This window comes from Homo sapiens, chromosome 5 (assembly GCF_000001405.40).
Source record: "Homo sapiens chromosome 5, GRCh38.p14 Primary Assembly".
Classification (NCBI taxonomy): domain Eukaryota; kingdom Metazoa; phylum Chordata; class Mammalia; order Primates; family Hominidae; genus Homo; species Homo sapiens.
In genome coordinates, this window is record NC_000005.10 from 150,708,421 (window position 1) to 150,735,836 (window position 27,416).

At 39.0% G+C, this 27,416-nt stretch overlaps 1 protein-coding gene across 8 annotated transcripts in view, besides 1 other annotated feature; it reads right to left on the reverse strand.

The window, feature by feature from the left end:
- Positions 1-19: 19 nt before the first annotated feature.
- DCTN4 (dynactin subunit 4) overlaps positions 20-27,416 on the reverse strand; it is a 50,578-nt gene continuing 23,181 nt past the window's right edge. For 7 of the 8 annotated variants that reach the window (NM_016221.4, XM_011537644.2, XM_047417261.1 and 4 more), the window contains 9 exons: positions 24,948-25,055; positions 22,996-23,069; positions 22,624-22,736; positions 22,211-22,320; positions 14,487-14,560; positions 11,296-11,350; positions 9,856-9,963; positions 7,145-7,242; positions 20-2,942 (listed from right to left, as the gene is read on the reverse strand). In NM_016221.4, the coding sequence (NP_057305.1) occupies positions 2,729-2,942; positions 7,145-7,242; positions 9,856-9,963; positions 11,296-11,350; positions 14,487-14,560; positions 22,211-22,320; positions 22,624-22,736; positions 22,996-23,069; positions 24,948-25,055 (954 nt within the window). In that variant the 3' untranslated portion in view covers positions 20-2,728. Of the gene's footprint in view, positions 2,943-7,144; positions 7,243-9,855; positions 9,964-11,295; positions 11,351-14,486; positions 14,561-22,210; positions 22,321-22,623; positions 22,737-22,995; positions 23,070-23,465; positions 23,487-24,947; positions 25,056-27,416 lie in introns of all 8 variants that reach the window. The other variant, NM_001135643.2, reaches the window with a different exon arrangement.
- Positions 26,509-26,738: an enhancer, noted in NCBI's record as "active region_23426". NCBI's record gives its function as "activates an Ori minimal core promoter by ATAC-STARR-seq in GM12878 lymphoblastoid cells {active_cell/tissue: GM12878}" and the evidence as "EXISTENCE:reporter gene assay evidence [ECO:0000049][PMID:35858748]".

Below are 27,416 nucleotides of genomic sequence, written 5' to 3' on the forward strand. Positions count from 1 at the left end.
GGTGATGAGTGGCCACTGGTGGAGTCAGACCACTGTGTATATTGTAAAGGATATCTTTAGAAGCAATGACCCAGGATAAAAACTGGTAGAGGTCTAACAACATTTATATAATGGTTCTGTGAATATGTATATAAGAAGCTCAAAGCAACATCTACTTATATATTATGGTGAACTAACCTGCTAAGAGATTTTAGATTACTTCATTTAAGGAATGGAAGGGAGCATGCCCCACCAACTCTCTTAGCCAACTCTCTTAACTTCACGCTTGTCTTTTGGCTCTGAGCCATGCTACTTAGTATCTACATGAGAGCAAACAAAAGACACGCTCAAGCTTTGTCTGCTTTATTTCACTACATTAAGTTAAGCAATAAGGCAAAACAGTAACCTGTCATTCATAAAGATCAAGGAGTACCTCTCTGTCCCAAAAGGGACCAAAAAGGGTGTTTCTTCACAAATATGCATGACACTTAGCTCATTATGCTGATAAGCACTTCAAACAAAAGAAAAGGTCAGTAGGTGAATCAAGTAACAAATCCAAATTAACTTAGCCTAAGTTTCCAAAGCTGTAGTTTCAAGTGCTAATGGGATCTAACTTTCCTGTGGTGGTGCATACTGACTAGCATTAAAATTTTTGCACCTCATCTAATATAAAAAAGGCAACAAATACAATTCCTAATTCACCAGCTGCAGGTATTGAATCATTTCTACGAACACACAGAATACTAGCTTACACTAAAACCTATCTTGAGGAAACATTAAACCAGTGGCTCTATTATTCTGCAAGTTAGTTTGGCTTCTGAAGAAAAAAGTTTATGATCAAAGTGTTTTGTGTTTCTGTGTATGGGAATGATGAGACCCATACTTCAACATTATTACTTTGGGGAATAAATACCAGCTACCTGCCATAAACGCATGACATGTGTGTAGTCTATGCAAACGTGTAAACATATGAAGCTATTCTCTACTCTATGCCCATTTCCTCCACTGGCAAATATGGAGCAGTGATTTCACAGTAGGCTCTAGCAGGTAGTGAAATAAAAATTTGAGACTCTGTGGGGTCACAAAAAAATGAAACTCTTTCTATAGTCTGCAAATCTGTAATTACCCATCCCCCTGCTCCAACTCCTAAGAGGCTAAATGTTATTACCATAATGTTAGAGATGAGTATTTTCCTTCTTACACTGCATCACATATATTACTCTGTAGGACTGTTTCATAAAATTGGCTTGACCTTTGTACAATTAGTACAATTTAGTGTCTTTTAGAGTACAATTTAGTGTCTTTTAAAAGCTTCCTAAATATTTAAAACATTTTCAAGGGAAGCTTACAAGGACTATGTCCCATCTGTATTCTACATTATAATGTTATCTTTAATTTTTTAAGACTTAAAACAAGACCAAGGTAAACAAAAAATCTGTATTTTCCTCAAGTCTCTTGGCCACTTACTAACAATACTTTTACAGAAAACACGGTGCAGCTGGTGGTCTACTTTATCAAGTTTCATTTTAGAAAACATCATAGAAATTAAGGTTAGCAACCCAACTCCAGGATACCAAGTGAAAACAGCAAGTCTGCTGTTAGGCCAGAACTGTGGGCTACTTGCTGAACTATTTTATGGTTTACAATCAAAATGGTCTTATTTGACTCACCACATGACAAAAGTCTTAAACTTAGTAAGGGGGAAAGTTCTTAATATCCAGTTTTGGATTCAAGAGATTATAATAGTTAATTTCCCCTTCAAATCAATGGAAAGAATGCTAGTTGAGAATATTCTAAAAATCTAGCCTTTAAAATGTTTTCTGCATTCCAGAAATGAACCTGTCCACTCAGGTTTTCTTTGGGTTCTTTTCCAGGTCCCAAACAGAACAACTTAACTGAGTTAAAGAGGCAGAACAGGGAAGGGGTAGGAAGTAAGACAAATAAAGATTGCCCCCCTGTGGCAGCATTAATCCCTGGGTATTGTGGCAATATTGAAAACGAATGGAATCTGCTACCCCCTTGACATGACATGTAATTGTTTGCTTCTCAAATTCTTCTTAAAAGATCCATATTTTACTGGGAAAAAAATTAAGAACAACTAATACGTGTCCTGTATTCACTTAGAAAAAGAGGGCAAATGAGAGTGCCTTAACAACTTCACAGGTTTTTCCAATCATCATGATACTAAAGATAAAGTGACAATTCAGTTTTTCAGTTATATGGAAATCTATGGCAAAATGGCAGCCATTATGGCAATGAAGGGATATGTTTTAGACTGTTAGATGATATTTAACGGAATGCAGAAAGCAGTTGGTACATTGTGACCAATGCTGGATCATTAACAGCAGGTCTACCTTTGGGTTATCATTTAAGTTTCATCTGTGACATTGTGATCCTTAGTGAGATCAGATCAAGAGACAGTACAGAGTTTCTCAGGTGGTAAATACAATGCCATTCCAAGGAACACCCATCCCCTTTCCTAGGATGGAATTATGCTGCTGTTACTCAACGTGCAGGGTTCAGTGAGGGAGACACAGACTTACTGGTGTCAACAGGGGTGAGAGCAAGAGCAACAGCAGCTACCCTGTGTTCCCAATGCCTTGCCTATGCTCCCACTTTCTTAGCAATAGAATTCCGTAGTGCATGGGTACATCGTTATAAACAAGGCCTAATGAAGCAGCAGCTTCCACATTTTAACGCAGGTTTACGGTGATACTGTCCTTTGGGATCTGCCCTCCAGTGGAACCTTTTAAGGAAGAAGTGGGCCCAAGCTAAGTTCCACATGCTGGGTGAGCCAGATGACTTCTGTTCCCTGGTCACTTTCTTCAATGGGGCGAATGGGGGCTGCCAGGTTTTTAAAATCATGCTTCATCTTGAAGCACACGGTCACTTCACCCTCCTCACGCTGTGGTGTAACTTTGATGAAAATACCCACTTTGTTGGCCTTTCTGAAGGCTATAATGCTATGGAAAGAAAAAAAAGCAAGTATTAGGTAGATAAAAAAATCAGCCAAACCACTAAGACTTACAGTAAAAGTCTTTCACCTTATTCTTTCCTTCAGCACACACAGAAAACCTATAAACACTTTGTTCTTAACCTACCAAGTATTTTTTTGTTTTGTTTTGAGACACAGTCTCGCTCTGTCGCCCAGGCTGGAGTGCAATGGCTCCACCTTGGGTCACTGCAACCTCTGTTTCACGGGCTCAAGTAACTCTCCCATCTCAGCCTCCCGAGTAGCTGGGACTACAGGCATGCACCACCACACCTGGCTAGCTTTATATATTAATACGTATATTTTTTGGTGGAGATGGGGTTTCGCCACGTTGCCCAGGCTGGTCTCGAACACCAGGGCTCAGGTGATCTGCTTGCCTTGGCCTCCAAAAGTGCTGGGATTACGGGCATAAGCCAACACGTTGGCCATATATTTTTCTATGAGCTTATACTTTTCTGCTTTTCTAACCAACACAGATGGTACACACTATTCCATAACTTGCTTTTTTTTAACTCTGTTTATCACAAACACCTTTTGACGCTGGTATATACAGATCATCTACAATCTATGTAATGGTTGCACAGTATTCAATTATGTGTTTACCATAATTGGCATATACTGAGGTTGCTGACAACTTTTCTCTATTATAAACAATGGTGCTGCAAACATCCCTTTACATTTACCTCTGTGCAAATGCAATATTTCTATAGAACATAGACTCATACCGTGGAAAGTTATTTATTTATTTATTTTTTTGAGATGGAGTCTCGCTCTGTCACCCAGGCTGGAGTGCAGTGGCGCAATCTTGGCTCACCGCAACCTCCGCCTCCTGGGTTCCAGCGATTCTCCTGCCTCGGCCTCCTGAGTAGCTGGGATTACAGGTGCACACCATCACGCCCAGCTAATTTTTATAATTTTAGTAGAGATGGGGTTTCACCACATTGGTCAGACTGGTCTCGAACTCCTGATCTCAGGTGATCCACCCGCCTCAGCCTCCCAAAGTGCTGGGATCACAAGCATAAGCCAATGCACCCGGCCTTATTTTTATTTTTTAGAGACAAGGTTTTGCTCTGTTACCCAGGCTGGAGAGCAGTGGCACGATCATAGTTCATGGTAGCCTTGACCTCCTAAGCTCAAATGATCCTTCTGCCTTGGCCTCCCAAAGTGCTGGGATTATAGGCATGAGCCACCATGCCTGGCCATACTGTGGGAAGTTTTAATAACTCAGTGCTTTAAGGGAAATTTTGGAACACCATAAATCAAGAATGTTTTTGTAAATAACTTATGTAATTAGGAATTTTAGCACAAAAATGTCTCTTCATTGAGGTTTGCATTTCAATTTCCCCTCATTTGTGCATACAGTTTGTGCTTTAATAACTTAGTTTCTGAAAGTAAAAGGGCAATGAAATAAACAGAATTTGTCTACTACCCAAATGACATTCAGTTACTCTAAGAAAGGTTACTGGGATTACATATTTACATATTTATACAGTGTTAGTTTCCAGAAATCTGAAAGTTCTATTAAATCTAATAATGTAAAATATAATTAATTCAGTTTTTAATTACTCTATCATGTAATCAGGCTGAAATCTGATATCTCAGACAATCATTCCAGAAGTATATCTTGGCTTAACAAATTTCTGTACCTAATTAATTTGAGGACCCACATAAAGCAAGGATTTGAGAGAACACATTTTGTACTGTACAACTCAGCACATTTTGTATTACAGTAACTAACCAGACCTTTGATTTGTATGAGTCATGTAAAAAATAATTCAAACAGTTTAAAATGGTAAAAAGAAAAACATCAGTCTTTCTTTTTATCCTTAATTTCCCAGGCAACCACTGATACCTGGGAAGCTTTTCCAAAACAAATTTGGATTTCTGGTCCCTAGCTAGACCTGCTAAAAAAAATCCTCTGGGGTTAGGGTCTGGAATGCTATCGAACAACAAAACAAAACAACACTTGACCTGGTGCTTTCTGAAGTTAACCCACGTTTGGTATCACTAAACTAATCTCACCTTTGCCTTCACTTTATTTTTCTTTTCTTTTCTTTTTTTTTTTTTTTTGAGACGGAGTCTGGCTCTGTTGCCCAGGCTGGAGTGTAGTGGCGTGATCTGAGTTCACTGCAACCCCCGCCCCTAGGGTTCAAGTGATTCTCCCATCTCAGCCTCCCAAGAAGCTGGGATTACAGGCACGTGCCACCACGCCTGGCTAATTTTTGTATTTTTAGTAGAGACAGGATTTCGCCATGTTGGCCAGGCTGGTCTCAAACTCCTGACCTCAAGTGATCTGCCTGCCTCAGCCTCCCAAAGTGCTGGGATTACAGGCATCAGCCACCACACCTGGCTTCACTTTATTTTTCTAACCCACCTTGTTATCTCTTCTCTCTAATATCTTGTTGAGAAAGCTTTTGATCATTCTGTCAAAAAACCGTAAATGGGCCAGGCATGGTGGCTCACGCCTGTAATCCCAGCACTTTGGGAGACCAAGTCGGGTGGATCACTTTAGGTCAGGAGTTCAAGACCAGCCTGGGCAACATGGCAAAACCCCATCTCTACTAAAAATACAAAAATTGGCCAGGCGTGGTGGCGCTTGCCTGTAATACAAGCTCCTCAGGAGGCTGAGGCAGGAGAACTGCTTGAACTCGGGAGGTGGAGGTTGCAGTGAGCAGGAGATCACGCCATTGCACTCCAGCCTGGGCGACAGAGACTCCTTCTCTAAAAACAAAACAAAGACTGTGAATGTTCCCTGTGCCAGTTTACTAAGCTATTATTTTTCAGCTCCAAGCGCACCTCTCTCAATTTTGCTTTGTGACACAGGATTCTGCTTGGACTGTATCTGCTGGATCGGATGGCTCTTTGTCAGGTTCTGTCAGCAGCGGGCTCTAAAGGGAGACTAGAAGTCTGGAGGAGGAAGGGTCTTGCTCTTCCTTTAGAGATTCCTGTTTGCTTGTGGTCCCTGTTCCCTGTGGCCATCACTCCAAAAATGTCTTTTTTTTTTTGAGACAGGGTATCACTCTGTTGCCCAGGCTGGAGTACAGTCACAATCACAGCTGACTGCAGCCTCAGCCTACCGGGCTCAACTGATTCTCCCACCCTGGTATCCTGAGTAGCTGGGACTACAAGCATGCGCTGCTACACCTGGCTATTTTTAAAATTTTTTTGTAGAGACGGAGTCTTAACTCTATTCCTAGGCTGGTTTCAAACTCCTGTGAAGCAATCCTCCTGCCTCAGCCTCCCAAAGTGTTGAGAATACAGGGGTAAGCCACCATGCCCGGCCCAGCAATGCTTCTTTACCCAGGAGGAAGTGGCAGTAAGCAGTTGAAGTTTTCCAATTCTTGTATAATCATGCCACCCCTCCTTTGCCATCACGAGATGCCAGGACCACGCAAGCAGTGTTCCCCTTCAGCTCACTGGAGGCCTGAGTTTCAGCTACATGGAGCTCTTTGTTTAAGTTCTAAATTTTAATAATTCTAACTATTTCCCTTTGTTCCCTCCACCTAAGGGGTGGTAGCTGGCTCATCAAATAGCTATCTTTGAAATTTTATGCCCATGAAGTAGCATAAAATTGCTACTTCAGTGTTCTTTTTCACTTTTTAAGTTACACAAGTGAACAATTATTTATATTAAATCCTCTGTTCGAATCATTGAAAACATTCAGTCTACAGACTGAATTCTCTGATGGTCACAGTCCCCAGTTACTGGAAGGTTTGGTTCTTTTCAGTTATTAGATATGAGAGAGTAAAATCTATTAATTCCTCCAAGGGGGTGGGGGTGGGGAACAAACCCGATGATCAATCTCTAGGGACAGAGTATTGTATCCTGTCCACAACCATTAAAATCATATAATTAAAAATTTCTTTATTAACATGGGAAAATATATTCAAGTGAAAAAGGCTAAAAAACTGTATTTATAGAATGATCCCAATGAGGTGAGAAATATTTGGAAGGACAAATGCCAAAATGCTAATGGTGTTTATCTCTGGTGGTGGGATAATTTTATTTTCTTCTTCATGGTCTTACATATATTTCCCCAATTTTCTACAATAATTATTTTTAGAAACAGGAAGAAAAAAGTTATTTTAAAAAATCCAGACAAGAAAACTGGATATAAGTGGGCATTCTATTATCAGCCATTTGTTGTATGGGGATCACAAAAAGATCACTCACTCAGGATCGTCCTGAAAGTCTTGAGGTTCTGCCAACTCATCGTACTCTGCTGCTGCATCCTTGCCAGCTAAAACGAGCTCTTTGGGAGGCACCACCACCTGGAGAGCAACACAGAGAGGCCTGCCTGAGAAGGGACCAGTGTGACAGAATATAGCAAAGTACGACATTGATTTAGACAAATGGAAGCACACAGCAAGTTTCAGGAAACATATACTACTTCTATGGAGTTTATAAGAACAAAGGTTTTAAGAGAAAGCTAAGTTAGTACTTACTTCATGGGGTCTGCAATGAGGAACTGGGGAGAACATGGGGGCTTCAATTGTGTCTTTAATGTTTTATTTTATTATTTATTTTTTTGAGATGGAGTCTCACTCTGTCGCCCAGGCTAGAGTGCAAATGGCATGATCTCGGCTCACTGCAACCTCTGCCTCCTGGGTTCAAGCGATTCTCCTGACTCAGCCTCATGAGTAGCTAGGACTACAGGTGCCCACCACCATGCCTGGCTAATTTTTTGCAGTTTTAGTAGAGACGGGGTTTCACCATATTGGCCAAGCTGGTTTCGAACTCCTGCCCTCATGATCCACTTGCCTCGGCCTCCCAAACTGTTGGGATTACAGGCGTGAGCCACCGCGCCTAGCCCTAATGTTTAATTTCTTAAGGGGATGGGGAGAAATGGGTACTTGCCATATTATTCCTCATTTTTTTTTGATACATCTGAAACAGTCCATCATTAAGAACAACACAAAGGAGAAACACTGGTTCCAACACAATGTTTTTTGACATGGTACCAGCTGATTCCTGGTACCTGATACATAAACTTACATGAGATACTGGGTGATTATGGTCATGGAAAACAATTAGCATTCTTCAGACTTATGTTGTAATTAGGCCTCAACTTTGCTCTATCAGAGGTTAACAGTTAACAGTGTTGATCAAATTTCTAATTATAGATACAAATGTGGGAGGGGAGGTATAAAGAGAGCTTTATAAAGATATGCTGTGCTTATGCATCAGGTACTTATTTCTGTCTGTCTTAACTGGAGCTGCTTATTAGTGTTAATAAAAAAAGGAACGTCAGGGCACAGTGGCTCAGATCTGTAATCTCAGCACTTTGGGAGCCCGAGGAAGGTGGATCACAAGGTCAAGCGATTGAGACCATCCTGGCCAACAGGGTGAAACCCCGTCTCTACTAAAACTGCAAAAAATTAGCCGGGCGTGGTGGCAGGCGCCTGTAATCCCAGCTACTTGGGAGGCTGAGGTAGGGGAATCGCTTGAAACTGGGAGGCGGAGAGTGCAGTGAGCCGAGACTGCGCCACTGCACTCCAGCCTGGCGACCGAGTGAGATTCCGTCTCAAAAAAAAAAAAGCAACAAGGACCAAATAAGTGAAATAAGTGTTATCTCTCTTTGGAGGTGATGCTAGTAAGTGAAATCATTAAAAAGCAGAAGAAAAAAAAAAAGAGGACAGAAATTCTCTAATATTATTTGAATAAGAACTAAAGATATAGGCATCTTTTTAAACCATTTCTATTATAAATATCATGCTGAATTATGAATTAGTAATAGATGATCTATAGAGAAAGGCTCTTGTTCTAAAATTTCAAGTACTAGAAGTAGCAAAATATAAAGAGAGGCCATATTACATCCATTCAACTCACACTGAGTCAAAATCACCTACTTTAACATTTAGTTATTTTGTTTTTTGAGATGGAGTCTCACCTCAGCCGCCCAGGCTGGAGTGCAGTGGCGCGATCTCAGCTCACTGCAATCACTGTCTCCCGGGTTCAAGTGATTCTCCCATCTCAGCCTCCCCAGTAGCTGAGATTACAGGCATCTGCCATCATGCCCGGCTAATTTTTGTATTTTAGTAGAGACGGGTTTCACCATGTTGGCCAGGCTGGTCTTGAACTCCTGACCTTAGATGATCCACTCACCTTGGCCTCCCAAAGTGCTAGGATTACAGGCGTGAGCCACCAAGCCCAGACTAGTTAGTGCTATGTTATGTATACTCTTTGTAAGGTAGAGGAATCTAGAGGAGGCATACCAGCTTCTAAATGATTTTAAACGTATCATTTCTAAAAGGAAATGATATTTCACAAGTGTTGAAGAATGAATGTATGAGACTGAGAGACTGAAGGGGCATGTATGTTAGGGGAGTCAGGATAGGAAGGAGGCATGCTAAGTAAAATGAATAGCATACACAATTCTCCAGTGTCAAAGTTTATAACCCATTGGATCTGTCTGGATCACAACCACTAATATGTACGATTCAGGGAATGCTAAATTTGAGGATCTGAAGGAAGACCACACTGGAAGAACAGAGAAGTAATGTCATTAAGCAGCTCTTATGCTATGCCAAAAATCTGGACTTCATCTCAGTCAAGAGCAATGCTAAATGACCAGCATGCACAGAGTTAGATTTTAGAAGTATCACCCTGGTGGCAAGAGAGAAGAAATGGGTTGAAACAGAGGTGGTGGTATAAAAATAGCAAGGTCATTTAGGAAGTTATTGTCACTGTCCAGGTAAGAAACGATGAGACCTTCAAATAGGGCAGTGTGTTTCAGGATAAAGTAAAAAAATTTAGGAGGTGGAATCAAAAGAACTTGCTGACTAGATGTGGAAAGGAGAGTGTGTGGAGTCTTTTAAGCCAGGTCAAATGAGGACACTCCAGGGAAAGTGCGGGTCAGTCAGGCTGAGGCAAAATGCTCCTACCTTAGCAGTGCTGTTGATATCATCAGGGTCCCCCTCCTCACACTCGAAGAGAGTCACATGGGTGAGGTTCTCAACTGGATTTGTAAGAGTCAGGAGGACCTGGCTCTCCTGGTGAATAGGAAACACATCTCTCAGACATTCGCCACTTTCTTAGCTGCTATACCGAATATTTCGCAAAATTACCATCCCCGCCATTACTCCTGGGCAATGACGCCCTACTTATACCTCTACATCACTGTATTCTCTATGTGCTTACTGATCCCTGTTCTATTATCTATATGTTAGACCAAATACTCTCTGGAGTTGCTATTTCACTGAGGAAATGGGACAGATTCCACTGAAAGGGCCAGTTACTAGATCCAGAAATTCTGAGGAATGTTCATTATCTAAGTGAAGTTAAAACTCTTGTCTCACCCAGGCTGCCACTTAAGGACTGAAAAGGAGGCCCTCATAAATAAAATATGGGAGCCACAGGCCAGTCAGATGCATGAACAGAGCAAAAATGGCACACCAAGACTACAAAAACTTTTTAAAATTTTTATTATTTATTTATTTATTTTCGAGACAAGGTCTCACTCTGTTGCCCAGGCTGGAGTGCAGTGGCATGATCATGGCTCACTGCAGCCTCAACCTCCTGGGCTCAGGTGATCCTCCCATCTCAGCCTCCTGAGTAGCTGGGACCACAGGTGTGCGCCACCACACCTGGCAAATTTTTTGTATTTTTTGTAGAGATGGGGTTTCCCCATGTTGCCCAGGCTGGTCTTGACCTCCTGCACCCAAGCAATCTACTTATCTTGGCCTCCCAAAGTGCTGGGATTACAGGTATGAGCCACCGTGCCCGACCTTATAAAAACTTTTTAAGACTTCTTGAACTGTGATAATTTGTCCTTGTTTGGTACCCTCTCTAGATAAGCAAAACAAATCTTTCAAATGAAGGCCCATGTAATAAATATTTGTGTTTTCAGGAGCAGCATGAAAGAAGAGTTAAAGAGTTTGCTGCAGAATATTCTACAATTCACTGGGTGTGTGTGTGGAAGGAAGGGGAGTAGATGAGGACTCCAAGGAAGAGAAGGGCTGTGGTATATAAATCTAACTGAATCCTAGTACCTGAAACATAACAAACAGGAGATCGAAGAGAATCTCTAGGCTGGAGAAGAACAAAAGATGCCTGTGGGATCCAACATTCTCTCCTTTCTTTTCCCCACCTATAATTTCACCTTAACATAATGTGCACCCTGCTCCTTCTCCCTACTTTTCATCAGATGCTGTTGTCAAGAATCTCAGTGTCAACAAATTTAGTCTTTATTATCCCAAACTGTCTTCTTTTCTATCCCTTGCTCACTGGATCCTGTGCCAAATACACACACAGCCACCCACATACACATGTACACACATCATTGATCAATCCTTTTTCTTCCTGTTAATGAGCAAGGTACTAACCTTCATGTAGCGAAGGTTGGGAATTGACATGATTCTCACTTCTGGAATATAATTGCTGTGCATAAATAAAAAAATGCATTAATGTTCATTGGAGTCTCTTAAAATTATTATTATTTTTTAAAGCTAGTGCAGTACATAAAGGATTTCATGTTAATTAGAATGTATCAGAAAAAAAATAATTTTAATGAACCATATCATCACAGTAAGAACTTAAGAAAAGACATAAGACCAAACTGGTATGAGTTCTTTCTGAAATCTTACGTATATTTCTAGTTGAAACTGCCCAGGCCCCAGATTAGCATTTACATATCAAGATATTGCTTTGTAATGACTAAGGCAAGATATTTATCTCCTTGTGCCTTGGTTTTCCCAATTCTAAAATGAGGAAAATAATGGTATCTTTCACTTGAGGTTATTGTGAAGAATACATGCAAGAATGCTTTGAAAAGTGCTTGGAACAAAGCTCACATAAATGTTCATTATTGTGCATACATTAACGTAATACGAAATCTATTGCAGAAACATTAAAAGTGGGGGAAAAAGTACATCTTAGAATCAGATATTTAAACTTTAAACGAGCTATTTTTCATGGTGACCAGCAGGATTACCTGAGTAACTTAACAGGAATTTAAGAAACTTTTGTCTTCCTGAATCTCAAAAAAAACACACACACACACAAAAGCAACAACAATAAAAATAAATTTAAAGACCCCACTTCTAAGAATTTGAATTCAGTAGGTCTGAGGTTTGATACCAGAGCTCTGTATTTTTTTTTTTTTTTTTGAGACAGGGTCTTGCTGTCACCCAGGCTGGAGTGTAACGGCACAATCATGACTCACTGAAGCCTCGACCCCCCAGGCTCAAGTGACATTCCCACCTCAGCCTCCCAAGTAGCTGGGAGTACAGGTGTGTGCCACCATGCTCAGCTAATTTTTGATTTTTTGTACAGATGAGGACTCACTGTGTTGCCCAGGCTGGGCTTGAACTCCTAAGGCTCAAGCGATCCTCCTGCCTTGGCCTCCCCAAATGTTGAGATTACAGGCATGAGCCAAACACCTGGCCTCAGAGCATCTGTATTAAGATAGCCAGGCAATTCTAAAATGATGTCAGAAAAAAATCACTTTTTCTCAAAGCAAGCTTAAGAAATTGATGCTAAGTACAGGCTGCCATTCAGGGTTTCTGTAATGAGTATAATTCTTAAGAAAGGAGTTCATCCCAGACTTCACAAGTGCCATTTCTGTAGGTCTCTAACCAATCATGTATTAAGAGTAGTTAGGAAAATGAACATATTTTATGGTGAGTTACAAGGCATTTGCAAACATAATTACTCATTTGATTCTTTTCAAGAATCCCAAGAGGAATACATTATTCCCATTTCAGAGACGAGGGAAGTATGTTTAGACAAAAATAGTAAGTGACAGACCCTCTTCCTGGCCCTCCTAGCTCCTCCTAACTCACTAGACATGCACTTCCCAACCTTTTTGTTTCCTAATACTTATTTTTAATTGCTGCATAATATTCTACAGTACAAGTTATCTCAATTTAACCAACTATTTCCTTGTTAATGGTTAATCAGTTTGACACTGATTAACTTTTGGTTAAACTGTTTGCAGCTTTTTGCCATTAATATATTCTAAAACACACCTTTGGAAATGCATCTTTATATATTGGTGATTTTGTTTCTACAGAATATATCCCTGAAACAGTACTGTTGGGTTAAAAGGTCTATGTAATTTGTTTTGATATTTCCAGACCACTCTCCAAAAAGACTAGCAATTCAAGATCCCACCAACAATGTGTGCAAGTATGTGTTTACCCACATTCTCATGAGCACTAGATGCTAATTACCTTTTAAAACTTTTCCTATCAAATCTTAGTTTCTTTCCATATACAGTGTATCTTCTGGTCATTTGAAATTCCTTTCCCATAAGCTACCTGTTCAAATCCCTTGTTCCACATTCCACTTTACTGCCTCCCTCTATTTTTATCTTTTCAATTTCTGGGAATTCTCTATGCCTGGGATATTAAACTTTTGTTTGTCATGACTGCCAAATATTCTTTCTTGCTTTACTATTTGTCTCAGGACTTTGTTGCTAATTTTGTCTTAAAAAAATTTTTTTTTCCTTAGAGAGAGAGTCCTGCTCCACTGTCTAGGATGGAGTGCTGTGGGACAATCATAGCTTACTGCAGCCTTGACTTCCTGGGCTCAAGGGGTCCTCTCACCTCAGACTCCCAAGTAGCTAGGACTACAGGTGCATGCCACTACACCTGGCTAATTTTAAAAATTTTTTGTAGAGATGGGGTCTTACTATGTTGTCCAGGCTGGTCTTCAACTCATGGGCTCAAGTGATCCTCCTGACTCAGGCTTCCGAAGTGCTGGGATCACAAGTGTGAGCCACTGCACCTGGCTTTAATTTCATCTTTTATAACCACTATTTCTTTTTGCTAAGGTCAAAGGTGTTTCTTTTCTTTTAATGGCTTCTGGGTTTCCTGTCTTGCTAAAGAAGGGCTCTCTTACTCCAAAGCTAGACAATACTTTCCTAATTTGTGAAAATATTTTTGTTTGCCAGGTAATTTAAAAAATTTATGTATTAGAAAAGTATGATGAGATATGAAAAGTTTACATTTAATTAGATGAACACTGGGTAAGTTTTAAGTGGCAGTATTTGTCTCTAATTAGGACCATTCAGATAGCCTGATAGGTAGTTTTTATACACAAAATTCTCTTCTACTCACAAGTCCCAGAGAGTTAACACTAACTTAATCACTTTCATTCCAGTCAACGAAGTGTTATAACACAGGTAAGTAAAATGAACACTGTTACAGGGATACTCTTCAATCAGCTATACTTCATTATTTTTAAATTTTTTTTGAAGGATTATTCCCAAACTCAGATACTTTATAATTTGTAATGATGACTAGTGACTTTCCACCAAATAATCAACATACCTTGTTGCTCCAGATCATACTGGGACACTGTGTCCCTGATCCCAATACCCCTGAATCTATTTATCTTAAACTTCATGGCATGTAACTAAATTAAAAACCTAAACAGGAACAGAATGTCAAGATTATTTTGATGTAATTTTTTTTTTTTTAGGCCAAGAGTAAACACACTTCATACTGGGGAAGAAGAATAAACCAAAATAACTCAAAACAGTAACTGAAAACACCAATCCCAAAATACTTACACAGCGACCAGCTGGATTTTGAATTTGATTGACGTTGGGTTAAATTCTGGCTTGCTCAAATTATGTTCACATTTCTAAAAAGAAAACAAATATAACACGTATCAGAAGACAACAACACACTTTGTTGATCCATAGAGCTGCTAAATTCAGAAGGACAGCATTTACGAGAATTTTGTTTTGTTTTGTTCTGCTATAAGACCATATGTTTTTGAATAATGTATAGCAGCCAAAGTTTATAAAAGATGTTCGCACTTCCTGATATGTGCAACCCCACTATCCAATATTATTATACCTCTGTGGTACTTAAAAACTACTAAAATAACACATACTGAGTACATACTGTATTTGCTAAACAACGTGCTCACTGGTTTAACTGGATTTAAATATCACATCAACTTTATGAGCTAGGTATAGGTATTACATTAAGGTTGCCATATTATAGATGATCAAAATGGTATACAGGAAGGGTAAGTAACCTGTCCAACTTCACAGAGCCAATAAAAATGGACACTGGGATTTAAATCTAGGTAGTAAAATTCCAGATCCTATGCTTTAAAGTACAGTAACAATGATTACTTTTGAGATAGGGTATCACTCTGTTACCCAGGCTGGAGTGCAGTGGCACAATCAAAGCTCACTACAGCCTCCAACTCCTGGGCTCAAGTAATCTTCCTGCCTTGGCCTCCCAAAGTGCTGGGATTACAGGCATGAGCCACTGCACTAGGACAGTAATAATTATTTACTACTTTCTTAAATACATACTACATATACCTGGTTAAAAATTTTTTTAACAGAACAAAAAAGGTGTCCAGTGTAAAGATTACCCATTATCTGTCTGTCCCCTTGTTTTCTCCAGATAGCCTATGCACATAAAAGTACAAGCATACATCACCTTGCTTTTTTCACAATAACACAAAAGGGAACATTTTATATTTATTCTCTTGCTTTTTTCATTTATTCTATCTTGGAATTAATTCCATTTCAGTACATATAGAGAGGCCTCTGTGTCCCACTGTAACAATTTCTATAACTTACATAAGATAGAAATTGATGGACATTCAGGATGTTTCCATTATTTTGCTACTGTAAGTAATGCAGCGATGAGTGTTCTTGTACATGAATCATTTCCTAAGTGTCTAAGTATCTGTAAGACAATTTCCTAAGAGTAGATCAAAGGGTGTATGCATTTGCTATTTTAATGGATACTGAAATATAACTGACTAATCTGACGATTATGAAATGATATTCCACTGCAGTTAATTTTTTTTAATTTTTCATTTTCTCATTGCAGTTTTAATGTACATTTCCCTGATTAGTGTATAAATTTGAATATCTTTCATATTTATTGGCTATTGGGATTTCCTCTGCCATAACTTGAATGTTAGGATCTACTGGTTATTTTTATTTCCTTGCCGATTTGCTGATATTAACAATAGATTTTAATCTCTTGTTAATAATATACCTTGCAAACTACTTTTCTCAGTCTGTGGCTTATCTTTTCATTTCTTTATGGGTTTTCTTTGGCATGAGGGTACAAGTTTTACTTTTAATGAAGTAAAATATGTAACTTTACATTACAGTTTGTGCTTATTTGTATTACTTATGAAACATTTCCCTACCCAGAAGTCATGAAGGTATTCTCCTCTATTTCCTTCTAGAAGTTTGGCTCTTCAGATTTCCAATGTTCCTGAAATTAACTTCTATGTAGGGTGAGGTAGCAACCCAATTTTATTTTCTTCCATATAATCACTTGACCTAGCAAAATATAATTGCCTATTCTTTCCCCAATGATCTACAATGCCATATTTAGTATATAACAAATTTTCTCATATGCATGGGTCTACGTCTGCATACATATAGACACACTTTTTTTTGTTTATATGTACATTTGTACTTTCCCTCCTTTTTTATACAGAAAAAGTGCATACCTACCATGCACTTTGCTTTTTGCATTTAAAAATGTATCCCAGGCTGGGCGCAGTGGCTCACGCCTGTAATCCCAGCACTTTGGGAGGCTGAGGCGGGCGGACCACGAGGTCAGGAGATTGAGACCATCCTGGCTAACACGGTGAAACCCCATCTCTACTAAAAGTACAAAAAAATTAGCCAGGCGTAGTGGCGGGCGCCTGTAGTCCCAGCTACACGGGAGGCTGAGGCAGGAGAATGGCGTGAACCTGGGAGGTGGAGCTTGCAGTGAGCCGAGATCACGCCGCTGCACTCCAGCATGAGCAACAGAGTGAGACTCCGTCTCAAAAAAAAAAAAAAAAAAAAAAAGTATCCCATATTAACACATTCTTTTATAAATTTATAGTACTCATTCTGCGGATATACTATAATCTCTGCATATTTTGGTTTGTATTTGTGGAGGTGCAAGGTAGATTCCTAAAAGTGAAGTTGATGAGACAAAAGGTAACTTTACTTTTGGTAGGTATTACTATATTAATGGTGCATTATATAACCATATTTATATAAATTTATATCAATTTAATTTATATATAACTATTTCCATTACTAATCTTTTTTAAGAAATCAACTTCTGATTCTGTTGCCCTTTTGTATTTTGGTTTCTTAATTTACTGTATTTTATATTAATTTATTGTATTTTATTTTGGTTTCTTAATTTATTAACACCTGTTCTCTTTGGACTTTGCTGTTTTTTTTCTAACTTCTTGAAATGGATGCTGACATCGCTAATCTTTTAATATTTCTTCTTTTCTAATATATACTGTATAGCTAAGCACAGCCTTAGTTGTATCCTGCAAGTTTTGCTATAAAGAAATTACTGATTCCTAACTTAACTACGTTGTGATCAAATAATATACTTTAATAATTTCATCTTCCAGCTGACAGCCTCAGCAAGAGAAAGCATAGGGACTCCAATGGCAGCAGCAGCATGTGCAAAGAAACAATCATGAAAGTTGGTAGACAATATTGGATGGGTGCCCCAGGTCTCTCCAAGCTGGCTATTTATTATATTTTGTTATTTAAAACAAACCTGTATTTATTTATTTTTTGAGACAAGTTTTGCTCTTGTTGCCCAGGCCGGAGTACAATGGCGCAATCTTGGCTCACTGCAACCTCCGCCTCCTGGGTACAACCAATTCTCCTGCCTCAGCCTCCCAACAAACCTATATTTTAAGCAGAATTAAAAAAAAAATAAGCTGGTATAAGGCTATATGACTTTTGATCAAACCAACGAGATGCAGGGCTTCTAAATATAAGGGATCATCTGAAATGAATGTTGTTTGAAATAACTGTCTAATTTTGAGAGTTCCAGTATTTATGTGAAAATTTAACAATTTTTAAAGAAGTCCTTGGAAATTGGTATTGACAGTAAATCTCCTTAAAATAGAATTTTAAAGCTTTCAACACACTGGAACTCTCCCCAGCTTTGGACCAACCCCACAACTGAGCGGAGCCACCTCCTCGAGACATGCATTGCTCTGCTGCTGGATACTCTAACAGCTTGAACAGGGGAGCTCACTTAAGAAGAGATATTGTGTAGTTTAAAACATATTAGTTTGTATAAAATAACTTCTCATAAATTTCTCATAAATTAAAGCTGCAGTACAATTCACTTAGTGGTTAGGCCAATCCTCCCCGCCATTATCCTTGCTTTGTTATAAATCACCATTAAAAACCATTATAATGTTTTTAATAGTATCAGCTGGCACTTAAATATTTTTGGAGTGAAAATTATTCCTAAAGTTATACATGACTCCCACAAAAATACAGTTTTATCATATTAAAGAGACCTGTACTGATTTGCCAAAATTCCGCAACTTAGCAAAGGTATTACCTTCCTTGGATTTGTACTTTGTGATACAGTGTGCTGTACCGTGGGCTGGTTATGTTAACTGAAAAAATAGTCATTACCCAAGTTTTGCAGCACTCTAAACTTAAGCAGAAGAACAGCTGTTCACATCTTACAAATGCCATGTGTCAAAATCATGGTTTTGTAATTGCTAAGGTACGGTATGTCAGGTTATTTGAAAACAATTACTTTTTGAAGTAATTGTGACCACAAAGCATCATTTTTACATGAAAAGTTGTCTGTCATTTGAAATTATGCAAATGATGTCTTGACCTGAAGCACAAACCCCAGGTACTTAATGTTTTTAATAATATGGTGCCACTGCAGGGGTTAGGGGCGGTGGGGAAGAACAAGGATAATGGCGGGGAGGATTGGCCTAACTAACCACTAAGTGAATTGTACTGCAGCTTTGATTTATGAGACATCCTTATCTGGGATATTTGAGGGCAGCTGCAAACTAAAAACAATCCAGTAAATGTACTTTGTTTATATTTTGTATCAGGCAATTATCAACTGCTAAATAATAGCTTTCATATTTGCAACTGTTGCATACAGAGTACTTTTGCTAAAAGGTGATTAGCTCTTGCCTTTAATTTTACAGTGCTTAATGTGATAAACTTCCAGACATGTTTCCTATAAAAGAGACCATTTAATATATGTATATAAACCACAGTAATAGTATAACATACTATTTTAAAATTATTTTTTTCTACTTAAAATATTTAATTTTAGGCTTCTTAGGACATTTCTAAAGCAGATTAAACCCAATAAGCAGGCCGGGCGCGGTGGCTCACGCCTGTAATCCCAGCATTTTGGGAGGCCGAGGCGGGCGGATCACGAGGTCAGAAGATCGAGACCATCCCGGCTAAAACGGTGAAACCCCGTCTCTACTAAAAATACAAAAAATTAGCCGGGCGTGGTGGCGGGCGCCTGTAGTCCCAGCTACTCGGGAGGCTGAGGCAGGAGAATGGCGTGAACCCGGGAGGCGGAGCTTGCAGTGAGCCGAGATCGCGCCACTGCACTCCAGCCTGGGCGACAGAGCGAGACTCCGTCTCAAAAAAAAAAAAAAAAAAAAAACAAAAAACCCAATAAGCTTCCTGATGATTTTTTTGTAATTGGAGATAGTTTTCTCAACTGAAATAACATTTCAGCTAAATAAAGCATTTTAAAATATTGATATTTGATAAAAAATTGCCTTGTATAATTTCTGTAAATTATATTTGTTCTGAAAAAGGTATAATGCCCTAATGTTAAAAGATTTTAAACAAATCCTTATCCTTTGATTTTTAAAACTCTGATCTAATGATAAAATTCTATAAATTTTCATTTTCCCGTGCAGTTAGGTAGCAAAATAGCTGGTAATTCATAACTTTTACCTATTAAAATATAAACACACAACAAGCAAATGTATTTAAGAGTACTAAATGGAAATAAAGTGTTCAAAAGAGAAAGTCTTGTGTTATTGAGCATCTTAGCCTATTTATTATTATAAAGTATAAATGTGACTTAAATCTTTTCTTGTTAATAAAAACTTTCTTTTAACTGAAAAAGAATTTCATCTTCTGAAAAATGTTCAGACTTACTTTATAATAATCCAGTATATAATCAACCTTTATAAGTGTTCTGTGTGTACTTGAAAAGAATGCATATATTCTGCAGACATTGGGTACAGTAGTCTATATATGCCCATTTGGTCAAGTTTGCTAGATAAATTGTCCAAATGTTCTATATTCTTACTGATTTTCATCTATTTGTTCTCTCGGTTACTGAGAGAAGTATGTCAAAATTTCCCAAAATGATTTGTCCATTTATGTAATTTTCTCAAATGTCGCTTTATATATTTTGAGTCTATTATTCAGTGCACATGACTTTAGACGGTTATATCTTCTTTGTAAATTGAATCTTTTTTTTAAACAAATTATCCCTCTTTTAAAAAAATTAGTGTTTGTCCAATATTTTTCCCACTTCTCTCTACTTTCAACTTTTCTGAGTTCTCATGTTTGTGCTTCTTGTAATAAGCATATAGATGGATCACTGCAATTTGCTTTATTATTTAGACTGACAATGTTTGTCTTTTAATGGAAGCATTTAGTTCATTGGTATTTAATGTAAATACTGATACATCTGGATTTTAATCTACTATCTTACCACACACAATCTTTTTTTTTTTTTTAACAGACAGGGTCTTGCTTCGTCACCCAGGCTGGAGTGCAGTGGTGTGATTACTGCTCACAGCAGCCTCAACTTCCTGGGCTCAAGCAATTCTCCTGCCTCAGCCTCCTGACTTGCTGGGACTACAAGTGTGTGAACCACCACACTGGCTTTTTTTTTTTTTTTTTTTTTTTTTTTTTTTTGGTAGAGACAGGGTCTCACTATGTTGCCTAGGCTGATCTCAAACTCCTGGGCTCAAGTGATCTTCCTGCCTTGGCCTCTCAAAGTGTTGTGATTACAGGCATGAGCCCAGGCTTTCTATTTGAACTACCAATTCAATGTTCCTTTGCCCCTTCTTTTTCTTTCTTTTTATAAAGGTTTTTCATTATAGAAATTTTCTAACGTGTACAAAAATATAGAATGGTATTACAAATCTCTAGGTACCCATCACCCAACTTCAACGATTATCAACTTCGGAATATATATGCAGGACTTGAATCTATGCTCTCAGGTTAAACAAACAAAAAGAATCAGCATCTTGTTATCAAAAATTAGCAACAATGGCCAATCTTGTTTCATTTATACTCTTACCCATTCCTCATCCCTCATTATTTTGCAACAAATATCAGAGACCAAGTCATTTCCTCCATAAATATTTCTGTATGTATCTCCAAAAGATAAAGACATTAAAAAACAAACAAACAAAGTACTATCATTATTCCTAAAAAAGAAAAAATACTTTTTTTTTTTTTTTAAGAGACAGGGTCTTTCTGTGTTGCCTAGGCTGGAGTGCAGTGGCTATTCACAGGCACCATCATCACACACTACAGTCTCAAACTCCTCAGGCTCAAGGGATTCTCCTGCCTCAGCTTCCAGAGTAGCTGGGACTACAAGTGCATGTCACTGTGCCCTGCCCAATAGTTTTTTAATAGCATCGAAAATGCTACCAGTGTTTAAATTTTCTCAAAGATTTCACAAATTTTTCTTTCCTTCTTTCCTCTTTCCCTTCTTCCCTCCTCCCCTGGGCCCTTTCTTTCTGTTTTGTTTGAATCCGAATCTACGTAAACTCTATACATTGTGTTTGGTAAACTTTTAAGTCTCTTCTAATCTAGAGAATGATTAAGTAACATTAGCCACTAGCGACATGTGGTTATTTAAATGAAATTAAAGACTGACTCAGTACCTCAGCTGCACTATCACATTTCATGTGCTCAAGAGCCACATGTGCCTAGTGGCTATCATGCGGGACTGTACAGACACAGAATACTTCCATCACCATAGAAAGTTCTGTTGGATAGTACTCCTCTAAAAGGTTTCTTTTCCATTTTGTTTTTACAATTTATTTATTGAAGAAACTCTGTCATTTGTTCTGTAGATTACCAGAGCCTGGATTTTGCTGATTTTTCTTGCTTTCTTTTAAATTGATTATTTTTTATTGGTCCTCCCTGAGCCTGAACACTAGCCTAAAAGTTCACACTCTTTCACTATTCTTTTAGGGGTTAACCCTATGTACTTAACCTTCAGATACTTCATTTTCTACATTTGTAAAACAGGTTTAACAGTAGTACCTACCTCACAGAGTTGTAAGAGCTGTTTATATTGAAAGCATTTAAAATAGTGCCTGGCAATTAGTATGTTCTCTACAAGTATTTTCTGTATTTAATACATTCCAAAGGTTTTGACATTAGTCAGACACCAGCCACATTTATTTTTGCTTTCCTCTTGTACAAATGGTCAGTCTACAGAATGGAATACTTACACGGCAGCGCAGGGACCGTTTGATCAGAAGATGTTTGTGGCGAGGATAGAGCTGTGAAGCACAGACTGGCTGGAAGTCAGGCTGTAACAGACGCTGCTGAAGGGTTGTTACTAGAAAGAAAGGCAGAAAACAGGCTTAGTTTACAGTGACTTTCAAAATCAGACTTTTATGTACCAGTAATTACACGAAGCATTACTGCCTTTACGAACAGTGTTGTTCATAAAAATGAAAATATAGAAAGTTGACATTTTAGATTTCAAACAATTACCTCTATTACAGCTGTTTTATTTTCTACATATTGTTTTTACTACTAACAGCTATTCCATTAAAAATCTCAAATCACTAGGTACATAAATAACAAAAACAGAATTAGATGTAGACTAGAAACAAAGTAGAAAAACACAGAAAATTACCCTCTGTTAAATTTACTGGTCTTGTATAATAGTCTTCAGGTAGAGGTTCCACTTCATCCACAGCCTGAGCTGGCTCAATCTTTATCTCTTTCTGATCCTCTCCTTCTTTAAGGCTGAAAAATTAAAAAAACAAAACAAAACAAAACAAAAGAGTAATTTCTCACGGATCCACCTGATTATCCTCAGTCTATGATATCAATAATTGAAGTATTCCTCTGTCATAGAATATCTGTATAGCGTAGGTCTTTTCTAAGTATGAGAATCTTCTTTTCCATTGACAACTGTGTGTGTGTGTGTGTTTTAATCTCATTTATTTGATATTCATTTTGATACCTGCTGTTCTCCTCAAAGTCATTTCATGTCTAAACTTACGAAAGTCCGGCAAGGGTACTGATGGATGCACCAGCTCGTGGTCGCTGAAGCCTGGTTCCAAGACCATATTTGTCCTAAACAAAGTTCAGAAATTCCTATTAGAAAGTCCACTTTTACACACCCTATTTATCAAAAGAAAGAATTTTGGGTAGGATAGCATGAGAAGCTCAGGGAAATAAGCAAAAAAAAAGCTAATCTAAAGGCTTCTTTTAAAGAAAGCAATTTGTAGCCCCACATCATTATTCTATTCTTAAAATAATAACAGCACTAAACATGGAGATTGAAACTATATTAATACAGTAAAAATGAACCAAATGTGAGCTTCTGCTAGTAATCTAAAAGTATCTAAGCTACGGCTCAGGCAAGAACTATGTGGAGTGTCTAAGATACACAACAGACGTCTTCCTGGAACACCAGTGGTCATCTGCTAACTTCTTCAGGGTCAGCAAGAATCATAAAGGAGAACTTACCACTACATGAATAGTATGTTGCTGTAGAGCCCCAAAATAGCAGCAGGTTGCAACAGAGACAAAAAATGCAGCATAAGATAGAAGCAAACGCATATAGCAGGCAGGTTATATGGGAAAATTGGAAGAATAATTCATTTAATTCAAATTCTACCTCTAAATATAACACACATTGGTGCATATGCTGACTATACCACTGGACTATTCAGAAAAATTCACTTCTTTTTGCAAATGTAGGTGCTTTGCAAGTGTTAATGTTTTTAAATTCTAATCTAGATTTTTTTTGAGACAGAGTCTCACTCCGTCACCCAGGCTGGAGTGCAGTGGCGCTATCTTGGCTCACTGCAACCTCCGCCTCCTGGGTTCAAGCGATTCTCATGCCTCAGCCTCCCAAGTAGCTGAGATTATAGGCGTGCGCCACCATGCCCAGCTAATTTTTTGTATTTTTAGTAGAGACAGGGTTTCGCCATGTTGGCCAGACTGGTCTTGAAATCCTGACCTCAAGTGATCCCCCCGCCTCAGCCTCCCAAAGTGCTGGGATTACAGGCGTGAGCCACTGCACCCAGCTTAATCTAGGTATTTTTATATGGACTTTACCAACCCTTAGGGTTTCAATGACTTAACTAATTTTCATGTGGATGCAGTATGACAAGTTGCTTAACTAGGTCCCATTTCCTCAAGCGTAAAATGGGGATATGATACTCCACAGGATTTTTGTGAGGATTAAGTAAAGTAATACATGTAAAGTGTTTATTTAGCACAGAGCTTGACACATCATTGCCATTCAATAAATGTTATTTATTGAATGTCAATTTGCTGGGCCCCAAGCAAGCACACAGAAAACAAACTGTACTATGAGAGCAAATAAAACTCGGGGTAAAATAACAAAAATTCCAAATCCTAATTTCTTTCTTCTTACTAGCAGTACGTAAACTGGTAGAGAATGACTCTCATAAATAATTCTTATCAAAAATTCTACTTGCATATATTACTATTTAACCACACAAGTGCACTATGTAAAAAGTCAGTGTTTTTCATCTTGGAGAAACAGGGGAGGATGTTAAAAAAATTATAACTAAAGCTGAGAAACCACTACTGCCAGGATGTCAAAGGTGGGCTACAGGGGTAATATGACTGAAATCTACCATTTGCCCACCTCCTTCTTCTCAGACTTTCTGTAATACACAAAAGCTGTACGTGGAACTCTGCAGTGCCTACAAAATTAACAGCCTTTCTGGGGAAATAATCAGAAGATAAAGGGGAGTGATGGAGAAAGAAACACAAATGTCCTCAAAACACAAATAACTCAAACAGAACTAATGATATAGCAAAAGCCTAACTATTGGACTTAAACGTCTATAATTTGAAGAATCCCTCTCTCTGATATCCACCATTCAGGAATCTAGGACAATGGCCATTTTCTGAAATGATCACTGTTCTTAGGCCTTAGAGGTCTTGCAAATCATTTTAGTACCAAATTCTCACCGAAAAAGCCAGAGGCATATAGTTTCTACGTCGTGCCAGTTTCTTGCGATCTCGCTCAACCTTCTCTTTCTGAGCAAGCTGCTGGTAATATTCAATCAATTTGTTCATCTGTAAGAAAATCACAGACTCAGTACACAAAAAAGCTAACAGAAAACATATCAAATTAATCAACTACACTGACTAGACACATAATGAATAGAGAAGACAAATTATTAAGATGGGCAAGTTTGCCCTTTTTCTTCTAAGATAATTTTTCTTCGTTATGTGATCTGTTTTCCGAAGTGAAATGGAAAACTGAAGTTCAAGGATGGGAAGAAATGGGCAATGAAGAGGCTTGGAAATTTTTTGCTCTCTAACTTCATTACTTATTTCCCCTCACAACTGCTCTTATTTTTTTTCTGCATGGCCACAGGACCACTTATTTCTAAGAACATAGCATTTTATACTGTATTTTATTCCCCAACTCCATCACACTTTTTAATTTTTAAAATACATTTTAATTATAAAAGCAATACATATTAATCATAAAAAGTTCAAACCAGGATGGGCACAGTGGCTCACGCCTACAATTCCAGCACTTTGGGAGGCTGAAGTGGGTAGATCACTTGGGGCCAGGAGTTCAAAACCAGCCTGGACAACAGAGTGAGACCTTGTCTCTATAAAAAAATGCAAAAATTAGCTGGGCATGGTGGTGTATGCCTATAGTCCCAGCTACTCAAGAGGATGAGGTGGCAAAAAAAAAATGGCAGATAGGAGGCAGGACTAACTTGCAGCTTCCCCTCAGACAGACAGAACAACATGTGGAGACTCACACTGTGAATTTTTATTCCAAGAACTACTGCAGGAACATACTAGGAAAACTGAAAGAATTCACAGACCCTTTAAAAGAAGTGGCTTGCTGCTGCAAAATCCATGAGACAGCAGAAAATCTGTGAGTGCCCATGTGTAAGAGGGGGAAAATCCACCTTCAAACACACATCCTCACTGGAGAACCTAAAAATCCAGATCATGGGAGAAAAATTTAACCTTACCTAGTGCTGAAACAAAATTTAGAGAGCCGAGTGAAATATAAAAATAGAAGAAGCAACAGCGGGAAGAGCCCTGTAGGCACTCCCGGTTCCCAGTGAAGCCCAGGGAAGTCATTTCTGACTTTAATCTCACAGGGGTCCTTGGGGAGTGCTGCCAGTGGAACTGAGGAAGGACCACTTGGAGACAGAAACTTCCAGGTGAACTTTGTAATAACTTTGACGGAGAGCAAATTTTCCTGGGCACAATCAAGATGGGGAAGGCGTAAAGGGGAAGTACAGATATGAGCACATAAGCCACAGCAGTCGGGAAGGGGCGGAGTCCAAAAGGCTAGCTTGCTTTTTCAGCAAGTAGGCTTGTAGCCTGGGCCAAAATCTTGGCCCTGCAAACCCCATGCTGTTGGTGGGGCATGGTGGGAGTGAGACTGGCCTTGCTGGCTGCATGGGAGCTGGGTGAAGCCTGTCACTGCTGGCTTTCCCCTACTTCCCTGGCCACCAGTATGACACAGCAGAGGCAGCCATAATCCCCCTGGGAACATAACTCCATTGGCCTGAGAACCACACAACTGTCCTTCACAGCAGCTGCAGCAAACCCTGCCCAAGGAGATTCTGAGCTCAGATATGCCCCCACCTGATGGTCTTTCTCTACCTGCCCTGGTAGCCCAAGACAAAAGACTGTAAACTCTTGGGAGCTTTATGGCCCCACTGATCACCTGGGAAACCCAAATACTTATCCAGGCAACCTTAGGGCAAGCTTGTATCCCCACCACACTACTGCAGCTGATGCTTTCTTGAAAGCGCCACCTCCTGGCTGGAGGCCAACCAACTCATTATAGCAACTCATAAAAGAACAACCCTGCCCTCAAAAGGAGAAAACAACAGCTAATTCCACCACCTGTGACATCCTGGCTAACCAGAGGTCCTGAGTCTGTCCACGTGACAATTCACTGCTAGCACAACCAGCATTAAAGAAAACTAGCATACGAAACCAAACTACAACCAAGGACCCTCACAGAGTCCACTTCACTCTCCTGCTATCTCCACCAGAGCAGGTGCTGGTATCCACAACTGAGAGACCTGAAGACGGACTGCATCACTGGACTCTTTGCAGACACTCCCCAGTACCAGCTCGGAGACTGATAGCTCTGGCCGGGTGGCTAGACCCAGAGCAGCAATAACAATAATTGCAGTCCAGCTCTCAGGAAGCCACAGGGGGAGAGCACCACATCAAGGAACAATGTCGTAGGACAAAATAATCTGAACAGTAGCCCTCAAGCCCCAGATCTTTCCTCTGACATAGTCTACCCAAATGAGAAGGAACCAGAAAAACAATTCTGGTAATATGACAAAGCAAGGTTCTTTAACACCCCAAAAAGATTACACTAGTTCACCAGCAATGGATCCAAACCAAGAAGAAAACTCTGAATTGTCAGAAAAAAAATTT